Source organism: Homo sapiens, chromosome 19 (genome assembly GCF_000001405.40).
Source record: "Homo sapiens chromosome 19, GRCh38.p14 Primary Assembly".
NCBI classification, from domain to species: Eukaryota; Metazoa; Chordata; class Mammalia; order Primates; family Hominidae; genus Homo; species Homo sapiens.
Window position 1 is genome coordinate 15,877,901 of NC_000019.10, and position 22,120 is coordinate 15,900,020.

The window sequence follows — 22,120 nt, forward strand, 5'->3', positions numbered from 1 at the left end:
CAATGTATATGAAGCTAATTCTTACAAAGTGAGACAAAACACTTTTATTTTCTAATATGATGTCTTTTTTTAAATTAAGACTGATTTGAACACTTAACACACACATTTTGAGGACCACAAAATAATGTTTCCTAAGATGATTTAATGTCATGGAAAGATGCTCACAGCATATTATTATATGAACAACCTGGACAGAAAAAAAATGTATGTGAGATAAAATAGCAAATTTTTTTGATTGAGGTAGAATTCACATACCACGAAATTCACCATTTCAAAGTGTCCAATTCAATAGCATTTAGTGCACTCACAGTGTCGTGCTACCTTCGTCACTATCTAGGTCCGGAACATTTTCACCATCCCGGGAGGAAACCCCATACTGATTAGCAGTCGCTCCTCAGTCCCACCTCCCCACAGCTGCTGAAAGCCACCAATCCGCTATGCATCTCTTCAGATTGGCCTGTTCTGGAAATTTCGTATAAAAGGACAGTACACTATGTGACCTTTTGCATCTGACGTCTTTCATTCAGTATCATGCATTCAAGGTTCATCCACAGTGTAGTAGGGATCACTGCTTCATTCCTTTTTATGGCTGTGTAATACTCCATTGTATGGATGGACCACATTTTGTTTATCCTTTCATCTGGTAATATATAGCTTGGGGTTGTTTTCATCGTTTGGCTACTGTGAATAGGGCCGCCATGAACATTCACGCACAAGCGTCTTTCTGTTTGAACACTTGTCTCAATTATTTTGAGTAGATATCTAGGATGGAATACAGGACTGTGGAACAGGGTCTTAGGGTAATTCTAGGCTTCACTTTTGATGAATCAGGGGTCATTTTAGTGGGGTCAGAGTGGGTCTCTGCAGAACTCAGCTCAGGGGCTCCACCCGCAGCCAAAGTCCGCCCTCTGCGCGCAGGACCAGCTCCGGCTTCCTGCGGGGCTCGGTGTGGTCAGGCAGGACGCGGAAGCGCAGCAGCGTGAGCGCCAGGACCACCTTCATCTCCGCCATCGCGAACGTCTGCCCGATGCAGTTCCTAGGGGAGGGAGGTGGGAACTCTGACTGCACCCAGGAGCCCCATCCTGGCCCCATCAAGCCGGTAACCTGGCCTGGGACACCCAACCCCACCTAGAGCAGTTTGAGGAATAGAGAAGGGGGTATCCGTGCCTGGATCCCCATGCGGGCTTGCATATCCTGCAAGCCTAGCCGAGCTCCAACCCCCAGCCTAGACCAAGGTGGGGTAGGAGGGGGCTCTGAGCACACCACAGACCCTTCTAGGACCAACCCAACCGTACTCTATGGACCTTTTCCTATAAACTCCAGAGGAGGTGAGGGAAAGAGAGCTGGAACTTGGACCATCTACAATGTCCCCCTTTTCCCCACTGTCATGCCCAGACCCCTGCACCCATCAACCCGTTCCCACCTCAGACACAGGCCGCCCTTACCTGGGCCCTGCCGAGAAGGGAATAAAAGCCAGAGGTGACCTCTCCTTGATGTTCTCTGGGTCAAAGCGAAAGGGGTCGTAGACCTGGAGGTGAGACCAAGAAGGGTTGTTGGGTGGGGTCTCCCAGTCCGCCAGCCTTGGAGAGACAGACAGTTGTGTGTGTCTTTGAGGGAGGTGATGTTGGATACTCCTGATCAAAACCCTGCCCCCTCCTCTAGGAGCCTTGGAATGGACAAAAACAGAGAGAGGGGCCCCGCACCTCAGGGTCCGGCCACACAGCTGGGTTGTGATGGGTTCCGAAAACACTGATGAGGCAGATAATGCCTGTGGGAGAGAAGGGAGCAGTCAGGAGAAGGCCTCCTTCACTGAGGGGCCCCTCTTCCTACCCAGGAGACTCCTCCCCGTGAGGCTGTGAGCACCTTTGGGGATGACCCGGCCGTCTGGGAGCACAATGTCCTGGGTGACATGGCGGGAGATGACCGGGACTGGGGGATGCAGCCGCAGGCTCTCCTTCATGCACATGGTCAGGAAGGGCAAATGGGCCAGGTCGTCCCTAAGGAAACACCCCAGCCCCAATCCTTATCAAGGGAGCAAAGACACAATTCTCCAGCTTCTCTCTGTTTGCAAGTGAGACCTTTTCTCCCCGCAATAAAATAAACTTTTAACAAGAATTGTTACAAAGTCGCAAGAATAAAAATAGTGTGGCACTGTGGCAAAAATGAGAAAACAGACCCATGGAACATGAGGGAGAGCTCAGAAAAAGACATGAGAATAAGTGAAAACTTCACATTTGATAAAGACAGCCCCTGCTCAAACCAAAATCCTGGGAAACTGATGGATTTTACAGTTGTAAAAGAAAAAAGTGGATCAATTTAACTTCACAGAAGTTGAATATGCTCAAGATGGTAGTTTTTGCAGATAAAGGATAGTAATGAAAAGTACCCTCCAAAAGTTGAAAGGCAATATTTTGCAACCCAAGACAGAAAAAAAAAAATCAATTTTGGCTGGGCGTGGTGGCTCATGCCTGTAATCCCAGCACTTTGGGAGGCTAAGGCAGGTGGATCACAACATGAGGAGATCGAGACCATCCTAGCTAACACAGTGAAACCCCGTCTCTACTAAAAATACAAAAACTTAGCGGGGTATGGTGGAGGGCACCTGTAGTCCCAGCTACTCGGGAGGCTGAGGCAAGAGAATGGCTTGAACCTGGGAGGTGGAGGTTGCAGTGAGCTGAGATCACACCACTGCACTCCAACCTGGGCGATAGAGACTGCATCTCAAAAAAAAAAAATCAATTTTAATACACATTCTTAAAAGTAAATATTTTTAAAGAATCCAAAGAAAAAGAGCAAAAAAATAAAGGAACCACTTCCATAAAAAGAAACAAACATCAACACGTGAAAGAGATGTTCAACCTCACTCTTATTTAAAACAATGTCCATCAAAAGAAGAAATATGAAGATTGGCATAGATTTTAAAATTTAATAATACATTAGTAGTATTGGTAAAGTTATGGGAAAACTTGTGCCATCAAACTCAGCTAATAGGAAAGGATTTGCAATGATAATTAAAATTGTACAGTGCAAATGTTCTTTGATTCAGCAATTGCACTTCAGGGAATTTGTCCTGCAGAGATGCTTATACATGCAAGGAATGGTCACTGTGCACACATGCTGACTGCCTCATGTCCACTTTTAGCAAAAGGTTGGAAACAAGCCACATACACATTGATGGGAAGATGTTTAGATAAACAGCCACACGATGGAATACTATACAGCTACACAAAAGGAGGAAATAGGGATCACTAGTCTCATCACATTCTGCAGGCTGGAAGGTAAATCAGTACAGACACTGTGGAAGGCAAATTGGAAATATCTACTATAACTGAAAATGTTTATGTGCATTCAACATAGGAATGAGCTGAATAAATAAGGAATAAAATATTTAGCATTCAGAAAAAAATAGCATTAAGACACACTGTCGAGTGAAAACAAGTTACAAATATATACATTTGTGCACATAAAAAGGGCAAAAAGTATATGAATATATATTTATGAAATTAATGATTCAGAGATAGATGATAGATTGATAGATGACAGATAATAAATAAGAGATATAGAGAGATAGAGAATAGACAGATACATACATAGATGATAGAAACAGAGATACATAGATGATATATAGATAGTAGATAGGTATATAGATACATAGATAGATGATGGATAGATAGATAGATAGATAGATAGATAGATAGATAGATAACAAATCTATGGCTCTGGAGACACCTTTGGAGAATGAGAAAGGATTAGGTGGGGTGGCAGGATTGTCAAGGAAAAAGCTAGTCTTATCTGTAATATCTCATTTGGTGCAAGAAGAATCTGTTCTTATCACTGGTTTTATAATTTAATGCTCATTTTCCATGTGGTGTGTATATACAATGGAATACCATTCAGCCTTAAAAAAAAAAAAAGAAAGAAAACTTATTTTGTTTGCCACAACATGAAAGAACCTGGAGGAACTTATGCTAAGTGAAGTAAGCTAGGCTCAGAAACACAAACACACATGATCTTACTTATCTTGGGACCTAAAATAGTCAAGCTCATAGAAACAGGAGTGGAGGTCGGGCGCGGTGGCTCACGCCTGTAATCCCAGCACTTTGGGAGGCCAAGGGCGGCAGATCACAAGGTCAGGAGTTCAAGACCAGCCTGTCCAATATGGTGAAACCCCGTCTCTAATAAAAATACAAAAAAATTAGCCAAGCGTGGTTGCGGGAGCCTGTAATCCCAGCTACTCAGGAGGCTGAGGCAGGAGAATCACTTGAACCTGGGAGGCAGAGGTCGCAGTAAGCTGAGATCGTGCCACTGCACTCCAGCCTGGGTGACAGAGCGAGACTCCATCTCAAAAATGAAAAAAAAAAGAAAGAAAGAAAAGAAAAGAAATAGAAGCAGAATGATGGTTACCAGAGGCCAGGGCTGAGGGAGGGATAGAGAAGGGTGAGATGTTGGTCAAAGGATAGAAGCTTCAGTTAGACAAGAGGAATAGTTTTTGAGATCTACTGCACAGCATGGTGATTTAGTGAACAATGTATTAATTGAAATTGCTAAGAGAGTAAATTTCAAATGTTCTCAACATAAAAATGATAAATATATGAAGTGATGGATTTGTTCATTACCTTGATTTAATAATTTCAGGTTGTATACATACATCATAACATCACATTGTACCTCTAATATATATATGTTCTCAACATAAAAATGATAAATATATGAAGTGATGGATTTGTTCATTACCTTGATTTAATAATTTCAGGTTGTATACATACATCATAACATCACATTGTACCTCTAATATATATAATTAAAATTTATCAATGAAAGAACAATTTAAAAACAAACTCATTTTTGAAAACTCGTATTTTAAGAAAAATAGATCTCAGAGATAATGTCCAGAACTGCGTCTATTTTGTATAGTTTTCTTTACAAAGAAAAACACAGTATGTGTTCATATAAATAAAAATCACAGTGTGAATTCATATAAATGTGGGCATTGGGATAGCCATTTTCTGGAAGAATACACAGAAAACTGTTGACCATAGTCACTGCTAAGGTGGAGCTTAATAAGGAAGCTCATTTTTATCATAAAATTTTTTGGACCCTTTCTTTTAACCACATCCATAATTTTGCTTGAAATCTGGATTTTATACTCCAGGACATGGGTCCAGGCAAAGATTTTCTGTGTTAAGACCTCAAAAGCACAGGCAATAGACAAATGAGATTACATCAAGGTAAAAAGCTTCTGCACAGCAAAGGAAACAGTCAACAAAGTGAAGAATCAACTTACAGAATGGCAGAAAATATTCTCAAATTACTCATCTGACAAGCGATTAATAACCAGAATATATTATATAAGGAGCTCAAATAACTCAATAGGGGAAAAAGAACTCAAATCATCTTATTTAAAAATGGTCAAAAGATCTGAATAGACATTTCTTAAAATAAGACATACAAATGGCCAACAGATAGATGGAAAAATGCTCAATGTCACTAATCATCAGAGAAATGCAAATCAAAACCACAATGAGATATCATCTCATCCCAGTTAAAATGGCTTTTATCAAAAAGACAGGCAACGATAGACACTGGTGAGGATATGGAGAAAGGGGAACTCTCACACACTGTTGGCAGGAATATAAATTAGCGCAGCCACTGCAGAGAACAGCACAGAGGTTCCTCAAGAAACTAAAAGTAGAACTAACATATAACCCAGAAATTCCACTACTGAAAAGAAAGAGAAGAAATTTCTATCCCAAAGAAAGAAAATAAAACTGTTGAAGAGATATCTATACTTCCGTATTTATTGCAGCACTATTCAAAACAGCCAAAATATGGAATCAACCTAAGTGCCCATCAACTGAATGGATAAAGAAAATGTGGCGGCCGGGTGCGGTGGCTCATGCCTGTAATCCCAGCACTTTGGGAGGCCGAGGCAGGCAGATCATGAGGTCAGGAGTTCGAGACCAGCCTGGCCAATATGGTGAAACCCCAGCCCTATTAAAAATACAAAAATTAGCCAGGCATGGTGGTGTGCACCCATAGTCCCAGCTGCTTGGGAGGCTGAGGCAGAAGAATAGCTTGAACCCGGGAGGCAGAGGTTGCAGTGAGCCAAGATCGTGCCACCGCACTTCAGCCTGGGCGACAGAACAAGACTCTGTCTCAAAGAAAGAAAGAAAGGAAAGAAGAAAGAGAGAAAGAGAGAGAGGGAGGGAGGGAGGAAGGAAGGAAGGAAGAAAGGAAATGTGGCATGTATACACAATGGAATACTATGCACCATTAAAAACACTGGAATTTTGTCATTTGTGGCAACATGGATGGAACTGGAGGTCACTGTGGTAAGTAAATAAGCCAAAAAGAGAAAGACAAATATCGCATGTTCTCACTCACATGTGGGAGCTGAAAAAGTGGATCTCATGAAAGTAGAAGGTAGATTGGTAGAAGGGAGGGAGGGGTGAGGAGAAGTTGATTAACGGGCATAAATAAGAGGTTTGATAGGAGAAATAAAACCTAGCACTTGATAGATCAGTGGGTTCACTATAGTTTACGATATGTACTGTATATTCCTAAATAGTTAGCTTATGTTAGTTATGTTTCTAGCATAAAGAAAAGACTAAATATTTCAGGCGACAGATATCCCAAGTACACTGATTTGATCTTTACCAGTTATATGAATGTATTAGATTATCACATGTATTTCAAATCTATGTGCATCTATTTATGCAGCAATAAAAAATTGTTTGTTAAAAATGCAGAAAAATTATTGGTTTTAAAAGCAGAAAAATGTTTCTCCTCCTCACTGGACTGCTGTGCTGGGCAAAGGTGTGGACGAGAGGACACTGAATCCAAGACATCCGTCCATTCCAATGCTTCCTCTCCTTCCTCCAGCCCCTGGCCTGGCTCTGGTCTCAGAATGTCCCCACTGTGCCTTCATTCTACAGCTGGTCCTCTCCAGTACGCCCTCCACACTAGCCCTAGAAAGATCTTCCTGGTACCCAGATGTGACCTGTCCCTACACTGCTCAAACACTTCCCATGGCTCCCTATTGCCATTGGGCTAAAACTGAAGCCATTAACATTTTCCCCAAGGCTTCCACAGCCAGCCCCTGCTACCATCTCCGGTTTTATCATCTCATTACAACTCAGTCTCTCCCTCTCTCTCCCCTTCTCCTCCTTTCTGTCCTGACCCTGCTCTCTCTCTCTCTCCTTCTCTCTCTCTCCCTCGCTCTCCTCTCTCTCTTCCTCCCTCTCTCTTCCTCCCCCAAAGACCCCAGGCAGTCTTCTTGACCTAGAGCACTGCCCCCCAACTGTACCCAATTATCTACTGATCATTATTTAGGCTCTCAACTGAGACACTTTCTATACCCCCTAGTCCTGCTTCTCTTACTGTAAATCCCATCTCTGCCCATGTGGGCTGGGAGTGTCCTGCCCAGGGACAGCTCCACCACCAGGCTGGGAGCACCTGGAAAACAGATCCCTGGGTTGGTTCCTTCCCAGGTCTCCAGAGCACAGAAAGATGCTGTGCACAGATGTGGGGGTGAAAATGCAGTGTGGGAGTGTTTGCTGAATAAGGATGGGACGGATGAACAGTGCAAGTGTTCCGGACAAGAATGGATGAATTTTACCCCTAGGTCTCCCTTATAAAACCCTGGACTCGACTGGAGAGTAGGAATTAGGGAACAGAAGAGCAAACATTCAAGAAGTGAAGATGTTCAAAAAAAATGATATTTCTGGGAGGAAAGGAAGAGAGTGGAGGGGAAGTTCATTTGCTGAACACGTCTAAGTGGCGTTATCTGTCCTCACATATCATCACCAACTCTCTCAGAAGCCCAGGTCTTTCTGTCCTAAGGGCCTATAACCTTTCCCCAGACAGTCAGGATGGGTACTAAGTCCTGCCTGTGGTCCTCTGCTCCTATTCCCACTAGGCAATAGTGGCAGAATCAACAAAAACAGCTTTTCCTCCCCTCCCCACCTGGGGAGCAGAGCCAATGAGAAGGTCTCAGGAAGAGGCCACAAGCACCTGCACTCACCATTCAATCTCTTTAGGCTCACGGTCCTTCAGAAGTTCTTGCACCTCCTGCCGGCAGCGCTCCTGGTATTCTGGGTGCTTTGCAAGGTGGTACAGGACCCAGGAGAGACCACTGGCCGTGGTGTCATGGCCTGGGGGGCAGCAAGGCAGGCTTGGGTCTCTGGGCTGCTTCAGCACCCGAAGGTAGACAGCACCCATGCATTGAGGGCCTCAGGGAGGATGGGGGAAGGGGGATGGGAAGGTTGTGGGGGTCTACCCACCCTGTTCCTGGAAGGGAGAGATCCCGGTCCCCTCTCTAGCCCCACACTGGGGCCCTCACCCTCAAACATAAAGGTGTCAGCTTCTGCTCTTATGTCCTCATCAGATAACTTCTTCCCGTCTTCATCCTGGAGAGAAGGCAGTAACCCCCCCCAACCCCCACCCCCATAAAAAGTCACACTAGCTCTAAGGGCTCTTGAGTCTAATCTGAGACAGTCTCTGAAGATTCATCCTTTTTCCAGAAATCCAAGTCCATCTTGCACTCCTAGACCCCTCTTGGTCACCATGGCCAGAGCCCTCACCTCATGGCCTTCCTCTCTGGCTTCCTTGCCTCCTCTTGGGTTCCTACTGGGAAGACTCAATGACCCATGAATATTTTAATGAAAAGTTTCTGAGAAAAAGTTACTGGCAACCTGAGTTACAGGAGAATTAAATGGCAATTTCCCTTGGAAATTAGAGATTAAGTATTGCTTCAAAGATTTGCCCACATTCTAGAGTGATAAATCTAGAGAATCTTATCCCCCTGGAGACGTTTGGGTTGTAAGGCTAAGGACTATGGCATCTCACTGAAGAGGATTTGTTTATGCTCCAGAACAAAGCACACCATCTCTCACAAAGCTACCATTCTCACTCAATCTCTCTCTCTCTCTTTCTCTGTCTCTCTCATTCTCTTTCTTGGGAAGAAATAGAAAATGTGCCAAGACTCATAATGTAGGGCCCCTCTCTTAGGATGCAAACTCTGCTGCACATACAAGTGAAAACATTACCCTTGGAGAAATTTGACTTGAGGATGAAGAGCCAGTGCCACAATCCCACTCTGGCTAACAGTATTGCTGTGAGCAAGACATGGGCTGCTCTGATCTAGAGGTTTAATGCATCTGTCACAATAGACCTACACATAGACAAAGACATAGACACAGACACAAACACACATAGACAAAGTCATAGACTTAGAAACTGACACAGACACACAAATACACATAAACATAGACATAACACAGATATAGACACAGACACACACACATAAAGTCACAGACTTAGAAACACAAACACACAAATACAAATAAACATAGACATAGACACAGATATAGACACAGGCACACACATATAGACTAAGTCACAGACTTAGAAACACAGACACACAAATACACGTAAACATAGACATAGACACAGATATAGACACAGACATACGCACACATACACAAAAACACAGACTTAGAAACACAGACACACATAAACATAGACATAGACACACACACACATAGACAAAGTCACAGACTTAGAAACACAGACACATAAATACACATAAACATAGACATAGACACAGATATAGACACAGACACACACACATAGATAAAGTCACAGACTTAGAAACACAGACACACAAATACACGTAAACCTAGACATAGACACAGATATAGACACAGACACACACACACATAGACTAAGTCACAGACTTAGAAACATGGACACACAAATACACATAAACATAGACATAGACACAGATATAGACACAGGCACACACATATAGACTAAGTCACAGACTTAGAAACACAGACACACAAATACACGTAAACATAGACATAGACACAGATATAGACACAGACATACACACACATACACAAAATCACAGACTTAGAAACACAAACACACATAAACATAGACATAGACACAGACACACGCACACATAGACTAAGTCACAGACTTAGAAACACAGGCACACAAATACACATAAACCTAGACATAGACACAGATATAGACACAGACACACACACACATAGACAAAGTCACAGACTTAGAAACACAGACACACAAATACACGTAAACATAGACATAGACACAGATATAGATATAGACACAGACACACACACACATAGACTGTCACAGACTTAGAAACATGGACACACAAATACACATAAACACAGACATAGACACAGACACAAACACACATAGATGAAGTCACAGATTTAGAAACACAGACACACAAATACACATAAACAAACATAGACATAGACACACACACATAGACAAAGTCACAGACTTAGAAACACAGGCACACAAATACAAATACACATAAACATAGACACAGATAGACACAGACGCACACACATAGATGAAGTCACAGACTTAGAAACACAGACACACAAATACACATAAACATAGACATAGACACAGACACACACGCACATAGACAAAGTCACAAACTTAGAAACACAGACACACAAGTACACATAAACATAGACATAGACACAGATATAGATACAGACGCACACACATAGATGAAGTCACAGACTTAGAAACACAGACACACAAATACAAATACACATAGACATAGACACAGACACACACGCACATAGACAAAGTCACAGACTTAGAAACACAGACACACAAGTACACATAAACATAGACATAGACACAGATATAGACACAGACGCACACATACATAGACTAAGTCACAGACTTAGAAACACAGACACAAAAATACACATAAACATAGACATGACACACACTCAGACACAACTACTGATAGACATAAACATAGACATAGACAGAAACAGACACAAGCACAGGCACAGACAAAGATATAGACATAGCATTGACATAGACATAGCCATAGACGAAGACATAGTCATAGACACAGACAAAAAACATGGACATAGACATACACTGAGACAAAGACACAAACACAGAAAAAAGACAAAGGCATAGACGCAGACACAGATATACACATACACATAGACATGGATGAAAATATAGACAGAGACAAAGACATAAACAGAGACATAGAAAAGACAGGACAAAGGCGTAGACATAGACAAAGATGAAGACATAGATAAAAAGACATACAGATATGGCCAATTACAAAGACAAAGACATACACATAGTCACAGTCATAGAGACACAAACTCAAACAGAGACAAAGATATAGAAAGACATAGGCAAAAACATAAACATAGACCAGACATAGATATAGATGTAGATGTATGGAGTTAAATGTGGACAATTAACTCATTAGTTTGTAAATAGAGCAAACTCTCAGACTTGTCAGTTTCAAGCCTAGCAGCTCCCTGCTAGGTGCACTCCACAGTCATCTCTAAAACCTATCTCTGACCTGTCCCTCCCTTCCTCAATCACCTTCCATGGCTCCCTAGTGCCCTCTTAATCAAGTTCAAATCCTTTCATCTGACATTTCACATGAAGCTCCCTTCTACTTCTTGAATTCAGATCCCAGAGAGGCCCACCTTGCTCAGCAGGAGTACATCAATGAAGTCCAAAGTCTTGGATTTGGCCTTGGCTTGGAGGAAGTCATCAACACCCTGGCTAGGGAGAGTGCGGCGCCGCTCCTGGATGACGGCATCTGTGAAGTCGTGCACCAGGCGGCAGGCCCTGCGGAAACGCTGCCCATCAGGGGTGAGATAATACAGGAAGTCAATATGCAGGAGGATCTCATGGTGTCTTTTTGATACAAGGGCACTGAGCTCCAAGATGGCGGCAATATATTCACTGGGTTTCCTGCAGGATAAGGGCAGAAAGGGAGGCAACAATTTAATATACCTGAAGCCCCAGGATCACCTCCCACCAGCAGCCAGGATCTACCTCCTATCAGTAAACAGAGTATCCAGGAACAGATGACCCCACAGATACAGGGTGGGGATCAGCATGAGATTGATTCTCCAAGCTCTCTTCTCTCCCTGCATCCCATCTCTGTGAGATGCCTCCATGCCGCTAGGCACCCAGAGCATAGCTTGCACATTATTCTCCTATTCTCTCTTTCCCTCCCAGTATACAGTCCTGACCCGTCTCCTTGAAACTGTCCACAAAGCTCAGACTTTATCCTCCTGCAACTGGTCCATGGTCTAGCTTTCACCCTAGCCTCTTTGCATCAGTGTTAACTCCATTTAGTGCTACATTAGTCAGTCCCCTACAGAGCTCTGACCACACCCACCAGTTCAAACCCCTTCAATGGCTCCCTGGAAACCTCAAGATAAAGTTCATACCAGTCCTTCAATGATCAGGTATAACAAAACTCCTCCAGGAAGGTTTGTCTGGTTTCCCTGCTTAGTCCTCCCTCTCCCACCTACCCACTTTGGGTCCACAGCCCAAGATCCCAGATCCTGGGCAAGAACTTACTCCTGACAATGGCTGTCAAAGCTGAAGACACATTTCTGTAGACTGTCCAAGGTCATGAGGCTGATGTGCTCAAACATATCCAAACAGGCACTACCCTCTGAGGCCAGGAGCTGCCACTTGGCCTAGCCAGAGAAGGGGACAGAGCTGGGGCAGGCTCCTTGCTCCCTTGAGCACCTCTCCAACCCCAACTGCCAAGATGGGCTCCCCAGAATAAGCCTCTTCATCTTCTCCCCAGGGACCCCTCCCCAGGGAGCACCAGGTTATGGTGCAAACAAAAGCTGTTACTATTAAGAGATGAAGACCCAAGATTGGGAGTTAGGAGAACTAGGTTCAAGTTCCAGCTCTGTCCCCTGTGCTCTGTGTGCCATTAGTCAACTCATTACCCTCCCCTATATCCTGCCTGTCAAATCTTCAGAAACAGTTAAGATGATGTGCTTTGGAGCCATATAATTCACATTAGAAACTCTGCTCCACCTCGCCATGCTCACTTATTAGCTGGGTGAACTTGGGTTAGTTCCCTAATCTCTCAGACCTGCAGTTTCATCATCTACCATGGGGCAAAAATACATAATCTCTCCTTCGCAGAGCTGTTAAAATCAAATTAGACAATACATACTCGTATCATGGAATGGGCACATGGCATTGTTTCTGGCATATGGTATGTGATCAATAAATGTTGGATTTCCCCGTCTGCATTGTTATAAATTGATTTCAAAAATATCCCTGTTTTGGGGGAGGTAGTCCTTCGTTGAGTCCTGAGCATTCTTTCTGGGCATGTCATGAATGCAAGACACTGATGTCCTTAACATGGAAAATTTCTCAGAGTTGTGTTTGCGAAGAAAAACTTTGAGGGATAAGGTAAAGACTCCCTCTAGACATGTTGCTTTTGCTTTCTATAAAAGCAGATTCCCTAAGCTTAAAGCTCCTCTTCTGTAATGCAATATATGATGTCAGCAGGCACTTATAGAAGCCCACCTGTGTCAGCCCATGGGATTTGGGAAGCTTGGAGGGAAAAAAGGCAATCTAACAAGAAACACATGCTGCTGTCTGTGTCATGAGTAGTAAACTATCCTTTGTCTCTGACCCAGGAGTCTCTCGTCCTTCTGGAAGAATTTATGAAACAGTAACAAGCTAACTTATCAATTTGCAAGTTAAAAAAAAAATCCTAGATACTTCGCAAAACCTTTGCCACAATTCTTCCCTTCCTGCCATATCCACACCCTTTGCAATGTGATTTTTCAGCAACTCCCATTAATAGACAGAGCCTATTTTATCCCCCTGCCTTTGATTCTGTGTTGGACTTTTGGCTTTCGATGTCAAAATACAATGTGGTGAAAATGATGAGTTAATAACTAACGAAGCTAAGCCTTGTCTTACTCCTTGGAACCCTGCCTGCATTGTGAACCATGGCGCGCCTTCTGGAAGGAGACAATCATAGGGAGGAACATCCAGGGGTCCCAGATGAGGCCAAACCTAGACACGTGAGAGAACCCAAACATGTCCCAGCCAAAACCCAAACATGTGGCAGAATTCAGTCAACACCTGCAAGGCTGCCTACCTGACCCCCAGCTGCTCATGTACCATGAGTGGTCCCTTCCATATACAGAAGAACCTGCCAACTGTCCCAAAGACTTATTAGCAAACATAAACACTTATTGGTTTAAACCAATGAGTTTTCAGGTGGTTTCTTATCAGCAACAGCTACTATGAAATTGTTGTCATGACCCTCTTGTGTTTACAGGGCTTTGGTGATGGAAACATAGAAACAGACACCTTCTGGGCACCTGCTATGCACCAGAGACGTGACTCCATTACATTACTCTGACCATCTTTTAAGTAGGGATTATTATCCCCATTTTACAGATGAGGAAACCAAGGCTCAGTGAGAAAGAGCAATGGCCCAATGGCACCCAGCAGAGCCAAAACTCCAGACTAGATCTCTCTGTTGTCCTTTCACCCCAAGGCTGCAAGTGGGACCTTGGCTTCAAATAACTCACGTGCATGATGTTCACACTCTCATTGAAAATCTTCATATAGGGCTTCAGGATGTTGAAATGGAAGGCAGGCGTCAGCATCCGACGGTGGCGGCTCCACTTGTCACCAGCACTCAGCAGGAGCCCATCCCCTAGCAGGGCAGCCAAGGGCCATGGGCAAGGACCTCTCCCTCCCCTGGCCCCCCAACGTTTTTCCCAACCCTGTTCACCTGCAGATACTCACCCAGCCAGGGCTCCAGGAAGCTGTAGAAGAACTTGTCCTTTGGTGCAATGGCAGCTGACATAAATGAGGACAATCAGGGGCCATGGAGGCAGGTGAAAGAGGGACTTTGGGGGTGGGTGGAGGCTCCCAGCAAGAGGTTTGCACTTCTCCCACTCTGAGCCCCACATAGCAGGAAGAGGGCCAAGGGCAGAGGAAGAAGGGAGGATGGGGAGGGGAGGGAAGACCAGACCAGGCTACAGCAGCACAGTACAGCAATGACACTGCCTAACATGGCGTGTAGGAGCTATGTCAGGGTTCCAGCATGCCTTGACATGCCTCCTACACGATCCAACATGTTCCGCAACCCCTGAGCACAGCTCAGCATTCTACAGAATGCTTCACAAGGACCTAGGACACCCTGTCTGTCCCAGCACTCTCTGACATCTTCTGATATGGCATCTTCTGACATGGACCTGGACATGAGACATGACCCTGACATGTGTTCACATGTCCTGACATGGCCACAAAATACATGACAATTCCTAACATGAGATGGTGTGCTCTAACATGCACATGAGATGGTCTAACATGATCTTAAAAGCGTGTTCCACATACAGGCTCTGGGTTGAATATAAATATGGTACCTTTAATGTCACAGACATAGCCAACATGTGAACCAGACTGTTCCTCAGGCATGACCCAAATATACTATAACACATGCCTCAGACAAGACTCAAATAATGTCTCAGACAGTTCACATAGGGACCCTGGGTCCCAGACCTCACACAACCCCCAGACCTCACACAACGCCCAGATGTTTGGACCACCAGGAGAAAACGGCAGTGTCAAACAGCACCTGAGACAAGAACCAAACAGGCCCTCACATGCCCCAAATGTCCTTGGCCACAGATAAGCCCCAAACTTGACCAGCTCTACATGACCCCAGTTGGAATTATATACCAGATGTAACCAGGTATAACATATTTCAGGTGTAACCAGGACCCAGGTGTAAATATACAAGGCAGACCTGGCCATATAACAGCCATTGTAGAGACACGCCCCAGACATGAGCAAACAGCAACAGAGGTTAGACAGGTGGAAGTCCAGGGGCGATGGAGGCAATGGCATCTCCACCACAGCCCCTCCTGTCTGCACATCGGTCACGTGTTCAGCTGGAGGCAGCACAGCAACCCCAGCTGTGGGCAAAGCTTGGCCAGTGCGATGTCTACCTGGAGCAAAGAGCACAGGCTTGATGCACGTGGGGAGAAAGATGTGGATGACTGCCTGCCAGGGCCCCACCCACCAGCAGCCCATATCCCCAAAGGTGCACGCCAGGCTTTGTGTGTATAGGAGACCTTCTTCTGAGCTGTGAATCTGGAGAAAAACACACAGGACCCAATTCATGCTCTCCTAGGCTGTGAGAGAGAAGGATCTGCAGGGAAGAGGTCGAAGCCCTCTCCCTGAGAATTTCAAGCAGCATCTCATCCTCCTGTCAGTGCTGAGCACCCCCTGCCTCCTCACATCCTCCATGCAGGACTCTCCAGTCCTTCAGTTACACAGACAGAAAAGGTCTTTCCCCATGTGGATCCACACACCATGTTCCCTGGGCTCTCATTCATCCCATTTTCCAGATGAAGAGCCTGAGGCTCTGAACAATAAAGTCACTTGCCCACAGTCCCAGACCACGGCAAGCCTGAGGCCTAAGACTAGGTCTGTCTGCACCCATGGCCTGAATCCTTAACCAACAAACTTCTTTGTGCCCCCAAAACAGTAGCTCTGGAAGACCCAGGCCTACCAAGACTGGGCAATCAGAGACACAGGGATTGGGTGAAAAATTGGTCCTGTGATCCAGGCCAGGAGAAGTAAACCATGGGCCATTTCTGGGAACTCTAGGGGAAAGGTGGCCTTTCCCATAAGAACTGAGCTTCTGGGACTCATCGTTGACATCATGAGGAAAAGGCCACCTTGATAGGAAAAGCGACATGGAGAAAGCTAAAGCCAAGAGAGAAAGACAGATTTCCAGTGACCTTGTGTGAGACCTGGATCCAGCCATGCCTGAAGGCCACCCTCCCTGGACTTTAAAGTCAATAGATTATCTTTCTTTGCTTAGACCACACCAGGTTGGGTTTCCACCACTCACAACTGAAAGAGACTTCAATAACCAGAGACAGCTGGGTACCAGCCCAGAGTCACTCAGCATTTTGAGGTCAGAGCCATGGTCTCTGTAGGATGCTGCCCATTCCCCCTGCTCAGCCTCGCCCGTCCAACGATGGGAAGCACAGGGGTCAAGGAAAGGGACCCAAGCTGGGGTGGAGTCTCCTCTTGGAGATCCCCGGGACCTGCAGCAGGAGAGCAACGAACTTAGGGCAGACAAGCTATAGGATGGGGTAAAGGGAATTGACCCACCAGAGGTGGACATCATGGAAGTAGCAGCCCAGATCCCCCACCAGCCACAAGTCCTCCTCATTGTTCTAGGCTTTGGGACAGGCAAGGTGATGCTAGGCCTGGCAAGGGGCCTTGAATACTAACGATGTCCAATTGCCTCACCCTGCACTCTCCTTTCAAACATTCCTACTCATTGTTCCAGACACAGCTCCAGTAACTCCTCCTCTAGGAAGCCTTCCAGCCTGCCCCAGCAGAGACCTTGTTCTTCCCTGGGCTGTGATCCATCTCCCTCTGGCCCTTTCCTGATCCCATGAAGTTGGGGATATCTCTATCCAGGTCCATCTCCTTAAAGTTGGGGGTTCCTCCAGGACTGGGCCTTGGGTTGAGGTCTCTTAGGGTTCCAGGGCAGCCCAGAACACCAGAACAGGGGGTAGATGGCAATAGAGAGAGGAGACGCTGAGATGGAAATTGATGAATACATGAAAGAAAGATGAAGATAGCTGAGAGGGAAGGAAAGGAGAGGCCAGAGTACTGCAGGGCCCACACAGGAGCTTGGGGATAGCGGAAGTGCAGGCCTCAAATGCACTGCCCCACCAGCTGTTCCAGATGGTACCTGAGGCGTTGATGACAGACCGGATGATGTCGGGGTGGCACAAACTGAGGAGGGGGGAGATGGGTCCCATCCAGACCTTAAAGCCCTGGGGGTAGGTGGCCACCAGCTGAGTCAGAACTCTCATGCCCTCCTCTGTGGGGTTGACCTGCAAGCAAGGCAGGGGTCATTACCTTCTGTGATAGTTAATTCTAGGTGTCTACTTGACTGGGCTAAGGGATGCCCAGGTAGTTGGTCAAACATTATTTCTGGGTGTGTCTAATCTATTCATCCTATCTATCTAATTTTTCTATCTATATATCTATCTGCCTACCCATCTATCCATCAATCCATTTTATCTGTGCTTTCATCCATCCATATATTCATCTGTCTGTCTGCTTATCATCTATTAATAGCCATCTATCCGTCTAATCTATCCATCATATATATCTACTCCATCTGTCTACATAATCTATCCATCCTATCTACTCTATCTACCCATCCATCCATCATCCATCCATCCATCCATCCTATCTGTGCATCCGTGTGTCCATGCATCCATATGTCCTATTATTTGTCTATCTATCTATCCATCCATCCATCCATCCATCCATCCATCCATCCATGCTATCTGTGCATCCATGTGTCCATGCATCCATCTATTCTATTATCTATCTACCTACGTGCCTGTCCATCCATCCATCCATCCATCTATCCATCCTATCTGTGCATCTATCTATCTATCCTATTAGCTATCTATCTATCTATCTATCTATCTATCTATCTATCTATCTACATTCCTCCTGCTCTATCTATCTATCTATCCACATTCCTCCTGCTCTATCTCTCTTGGGTCCATCTCCAAGTCCCAAGGGTGCATCCCAGGGCAGAGGGAGAAGACGCACTGTCCACTCACAGAGGCCCAGTTATCTTGAGAGGAAGGATTTTCTTTTTCTGGGAGTCATTTCAGCCCAGAGGCAGCTATATGGGGAGGTCCTCACAGGGGAGATTTGTGGGGAGCAGTATCGCCTCAGGACATGTCCCTAAGGCTGGTCCCCACATGCCTTCATGTCCTGGCTGATCCACAGAGGCTCCAGTTCCTCCCATGGAGAAGGTTCTGCACATGGGAGACCTTCCCTTTTCAGCAGCCACTAGTGGAGCAGAGGTGACTCTAACTGTCCATCAGGACAATGGCTCCCACCTGGGAGCAGCTTCTGCAGCAGGCTCTGTGCTAGTGTGTCCTGTGCACCCTTCCACTTTATCTGTGGACACATCCATCAATCCTGCCATTTGCAAATGAGCAGACTAAGACCACATTCCCCAAAGAGGAGAGCGGTCTAAGTCAGAGGGCAAGGTCACGGGGAGGAGAAAGGCCAAGGAAAGCTTCTGAAAGGTGAAGTGAGTGGCCAACTTTTATCTGGGTTTGGCAACAGGTCTCATTGATAAGAGGGAGATAAGAAGAAGAATATAAGAGAAAGGTGCCTTCGGGTGTAGTGGAAGTGGGAGACGGCCCATGCCTCTCCTCTGGCCCAGCTGTACCCTCATAACAGGAAATAGTCCAGGCAAGGAGAGGACCCTGGACAGTGGGCATAAGAAGCCTCGAGTCCAGCAATGGAGAATGTGGGAATGCCAGGGACTCGCCTCTCTGTGCAGCCAACCCTCTGCCCAGGAGCCCCGCAGAGGTGCATTAATGTGGGAAGACAGGCAGGAAAAGGATTCAATGCAGGCCTGGAGTGGGAGGACAAGGAAGTGAGAAGGGCTTGCGTAGGCACCTCACAGAAATGAATAAGCAGAGGAATGAGTAAGATGCCTCCTCTGCTTCTCTGCCACCCCAGATCCCAGCCCACCCCTTCACCCCCACTCCCTAAGCCTCGTACCCCTCAGGAAGTCCATCCATCCTGAGACCTAGACCCATCCTGCTGCCACACTCACCATGCCCTGGTGTCCCCAAAACCAGTTCCGTCTTGGGGGTTGTGGGAAACACCGAAGGCGGCGGCAGTTGTCATAGAAGGCGTAGGTCCAGGCCAGGACATGGGCCAGGAGCCAGGAGGCCCCGACCAGCAGGAGGAGCAGCCAAGGGGATGCTGCCACTGGCCAGAGGCCCAGCCAGGACAGGCTCAGCTGGGACATCCTGCAGGGCAGACGGGATGGACGGTGAGATCCTGAGGCCCAGAGAACGGCCCAGGGACCTCCAGGGACAGTGGAGAGGCAGGGACGGGCAGTGCCGGAGGTAGAGCAGGGAGGGCTCAGGGATGGGTAAAAAGGGGCTGAGAGGTAAAGTCCAGAAAGGCCCAACCAAAACCAGCAGCCAAGTGGCCTCCAGTTCCCTAGTAAGCACTTAGAATGGGAAAGAGAGAGAGAGACTGATTAAAGTCCAGAAAGGCCCAGCCTGAATCACTGTGAGGTTGCCAGGGGCTTGGTTTCAGTTACTCGGAAACCACCCATCCTCCAGGCCAGCACCCAGGAGCTGCGTGGGCCTTGGGCAGTGCCCCTCTCCATCCCAGGCCAGGACCCCCCCCAGGCCTGCCACCCCCAGCCTGGCACCTTCTGTCAGGAGCAGTCTGTCCCAGACAACCTCCTCTCTCTGTCTGCTGGGAGGCCTTTGACCCTGGCCCTTGATATAGCAAAGGCTGTGGGAGGGCTGGCTGGGTTGGGCTGGGCCAACCAATCCCTGCAGCCTGGATGTGTCTCCTGAGCCTGGGCAGCCAATCAACACCTGGCGTCAGGCCAGCTGGGTGCAGAGGAATCAGCTCAGGGTCCAGATGGATGGGTAGATGCACAGATAGATAGAGTAGATAGGATGGATACATTAGGTAGATAGATAAAGTAGATATAGATAATGGATATATTAGACAGATGGATAGATAGCTATTAATAGATGATAGATAGATACATAGATAATAGGATAAATAGATGGAATGGATAAACGTACAGCTAAGATGGATTGATGGATGGATGGGTAGGCAAATATATATATAGATGAGAAATTAGATAGATAGGATGAATAGATTAGATAGACACACCCAGAAATAATGTTCCATCTCTGTCCCAGATATGTGGGATCCTCATTTGTGACATGGGAACTAGGGATCTTGGATCACTCCAATCACTCCAGATGCTACAAGGCCAGTGACTTACTCAGTATGATGCTGAGGAACATGACCATCAGAAACAGGATCAGAGTCACTCTCAAGCAAAAAAAAAAAAAAAAAAAAAAAAAAAAAAAAAAAAAACTCCAAGGATTAAATGATTTTTCCCATTGTCCTGGGGAGAAATTAATCCAAGGGAGGTCACAGGAGGGCAAATAATTCCCCATCACCACCACCACCACCATGAGCATACCATCACCCATGGAGTTTTCTGATTTACTCTTTGGCCCATTAAGCGTGAAATTTCTTATGCTAGGTTTCTTTCTGATAAGGGAGAAGAGATTAGTATCTCTACATTTCCTCTCCTCCTGCTACCTAGTCTCTGTATTCTAGGTTAAATTATAATTTATGTTGAGGATTTACAATGGCTGATACACCTAGCTGAGCCTTCTGCACAGAGATACATTGGGAGTGGAGGTTAATTGGGTCAAAGGAGAAATGCCATAAGCCCACACTCCAGCCTATCAGGGTGGATTAAAGGTCTGATTTGCCCAACTCTTGTCACACCTGCTCCCACTGAGAGGTGACAGCATGCTGGCAGTCCTCACAGCCCTCACTCGCTCTCGGCGCCTCCTCTGCCTGGGCTCCCACTTTGGCGGCACTTGAGGAGCCCTTCAGCCCACCGCTGCACTGTGGGAGCCCCTTTCTTTTCTCTTCTTTTCTTTTTTTTTGGATTTTTTTATTATTATTATTATACTTTAAGTTTTAGGGTACATGCGCACAATGTGCAGGTTAGTTACATATGTATACATGTGCCATGCTGGTGCGCTGCACCCACTAACTCGTCATCTAGCATTAGGTATATCTCCCAATGCTATCCCTCCCCCCTCCCCCCACCCCACAACAGTCCCCAGAGTGTGATGTTCCCCTTCCTGTGTCCATATGTTCTCATTGTGTAGGGACATGGATGAAATTGGAAATCATCATTCTCAGTAAACTATCGCAAGAACAAAAAACCAAACACCGCATATTCTCACTTATAGGTGTAGGAGCCCCTTTCTAGGCTGGCCAAGGCCAGAGCCGGCTCCCTCAGCTTGCAGGGAGGTATGGAGGGAGAGGCGCGAGTACGAACCGGGGCTGCGCGCGGCACTTGCGGGCCAGCTAGAGTTCCAGGTGGGCGTAGGCTTGGCAGGCCCCGCACTCGGAGCAGCCGGCCGGCCCTGCCAGCCCCGGGCAATGAGGGGCTTAGCACCCGGGCCAGCGGCTGCTCGGGAAGGTGTACTCGGTCCCCCAGCAGTGCCAGCCCACCGGCGCTGCGCTCGATTTCTCGCCGGGCCTTAGCTGCCTTCCCGCGGGGCAGGGCCCAGGACCTGCAGCCCGCCATGCCTGAGCCCCCGGCCTCCGTAGGTTCCTGTGCAGCCCGAGCCTCCCCGATGAGCGCCGCCCCCTG

At 46.3% G+C, this 22,120-nt stretch overlaps 1 protein-coding gene across 1 annotated transcript, besides 1 other annotated feature; it reads right to left on the reverse strand.

Annotated features, from left to right (window-relative positions):
• On the reverse strand, positions 123–20,174 carry CYP4F2 (cytochrome P450 family 4 subfamily F member 2). Its single transcript, NM_001082.5, has 13 exons — positions 20,126–20,174; positions 19,514–19,712; positions 17,606–17,750; positions 14,629–14,682; positions 14,409–14,536; positions 12,412–12,533; positions 11,523–11,793; positions 8,342–8,408; positions 8,024–8,153; positions 1,864–1,997; positions 1,704–1,768; positions 1,446–1,528; positions 123–1,036 (listed from the first exon to the last, which is right to left on the reverse strand). Exons 2-13 carry the CDS (start codon positions 19,709–19,711, stop codon positions 871–873), a joined length of 1,563 nt encoding a protein of 520 aa, NP_001073.3. The 5' UTR covers position 19,712; positions 20,126–20,174; the 3' UTR covers positions 123–870.
• Positions 14,186–15,385: an enhancer, noted in NCBI's record as "MED14-independent group 3 enhancer chr19:16002896-16004095 (GRCh37/hg19 assembly coordinates)". NCBI's record gives its function as "activates an origin of replication core promoter dependent on BRD2, BRD4, P300/CBP and CDK7 cofactors, and independent of MED14, by STARR-seq in HCT116 cells {active_cell/tissue: HCT116}" and the evidence as "EXISTENCE:reporter gene assay evidence [ECO:0000049][PMID:35650434]".

What these genes read in the sequence shown, in the direction of transcription:
- CYP4F2 (NM_001082.5), bottom strand. Translation starts at nt 19,711, where the DNA reads ATGTCCCAGCTGAGCCTGTCCTGGCTGGGCCTCTGGCCAGTGGCAGCA. An exon ending in TTTGGGGACACCAGGGCATG is followed by an intron (nt 17,751 to 19,513) that starts GTGAGTGTGGCA and finishes CCTTGCTTGCAG; the next exon opens with GTCAACCCCACAGAGGAGGG. An exon ending in TGACACCTTTATGTTTGAGG is followed by an intron (nt 8,154 to 8,341) that starts GTGAGGGCCCCA and finishes GCTGCCCCCCAG; the next exon opens with GCCATGACACCACGGCCAGT.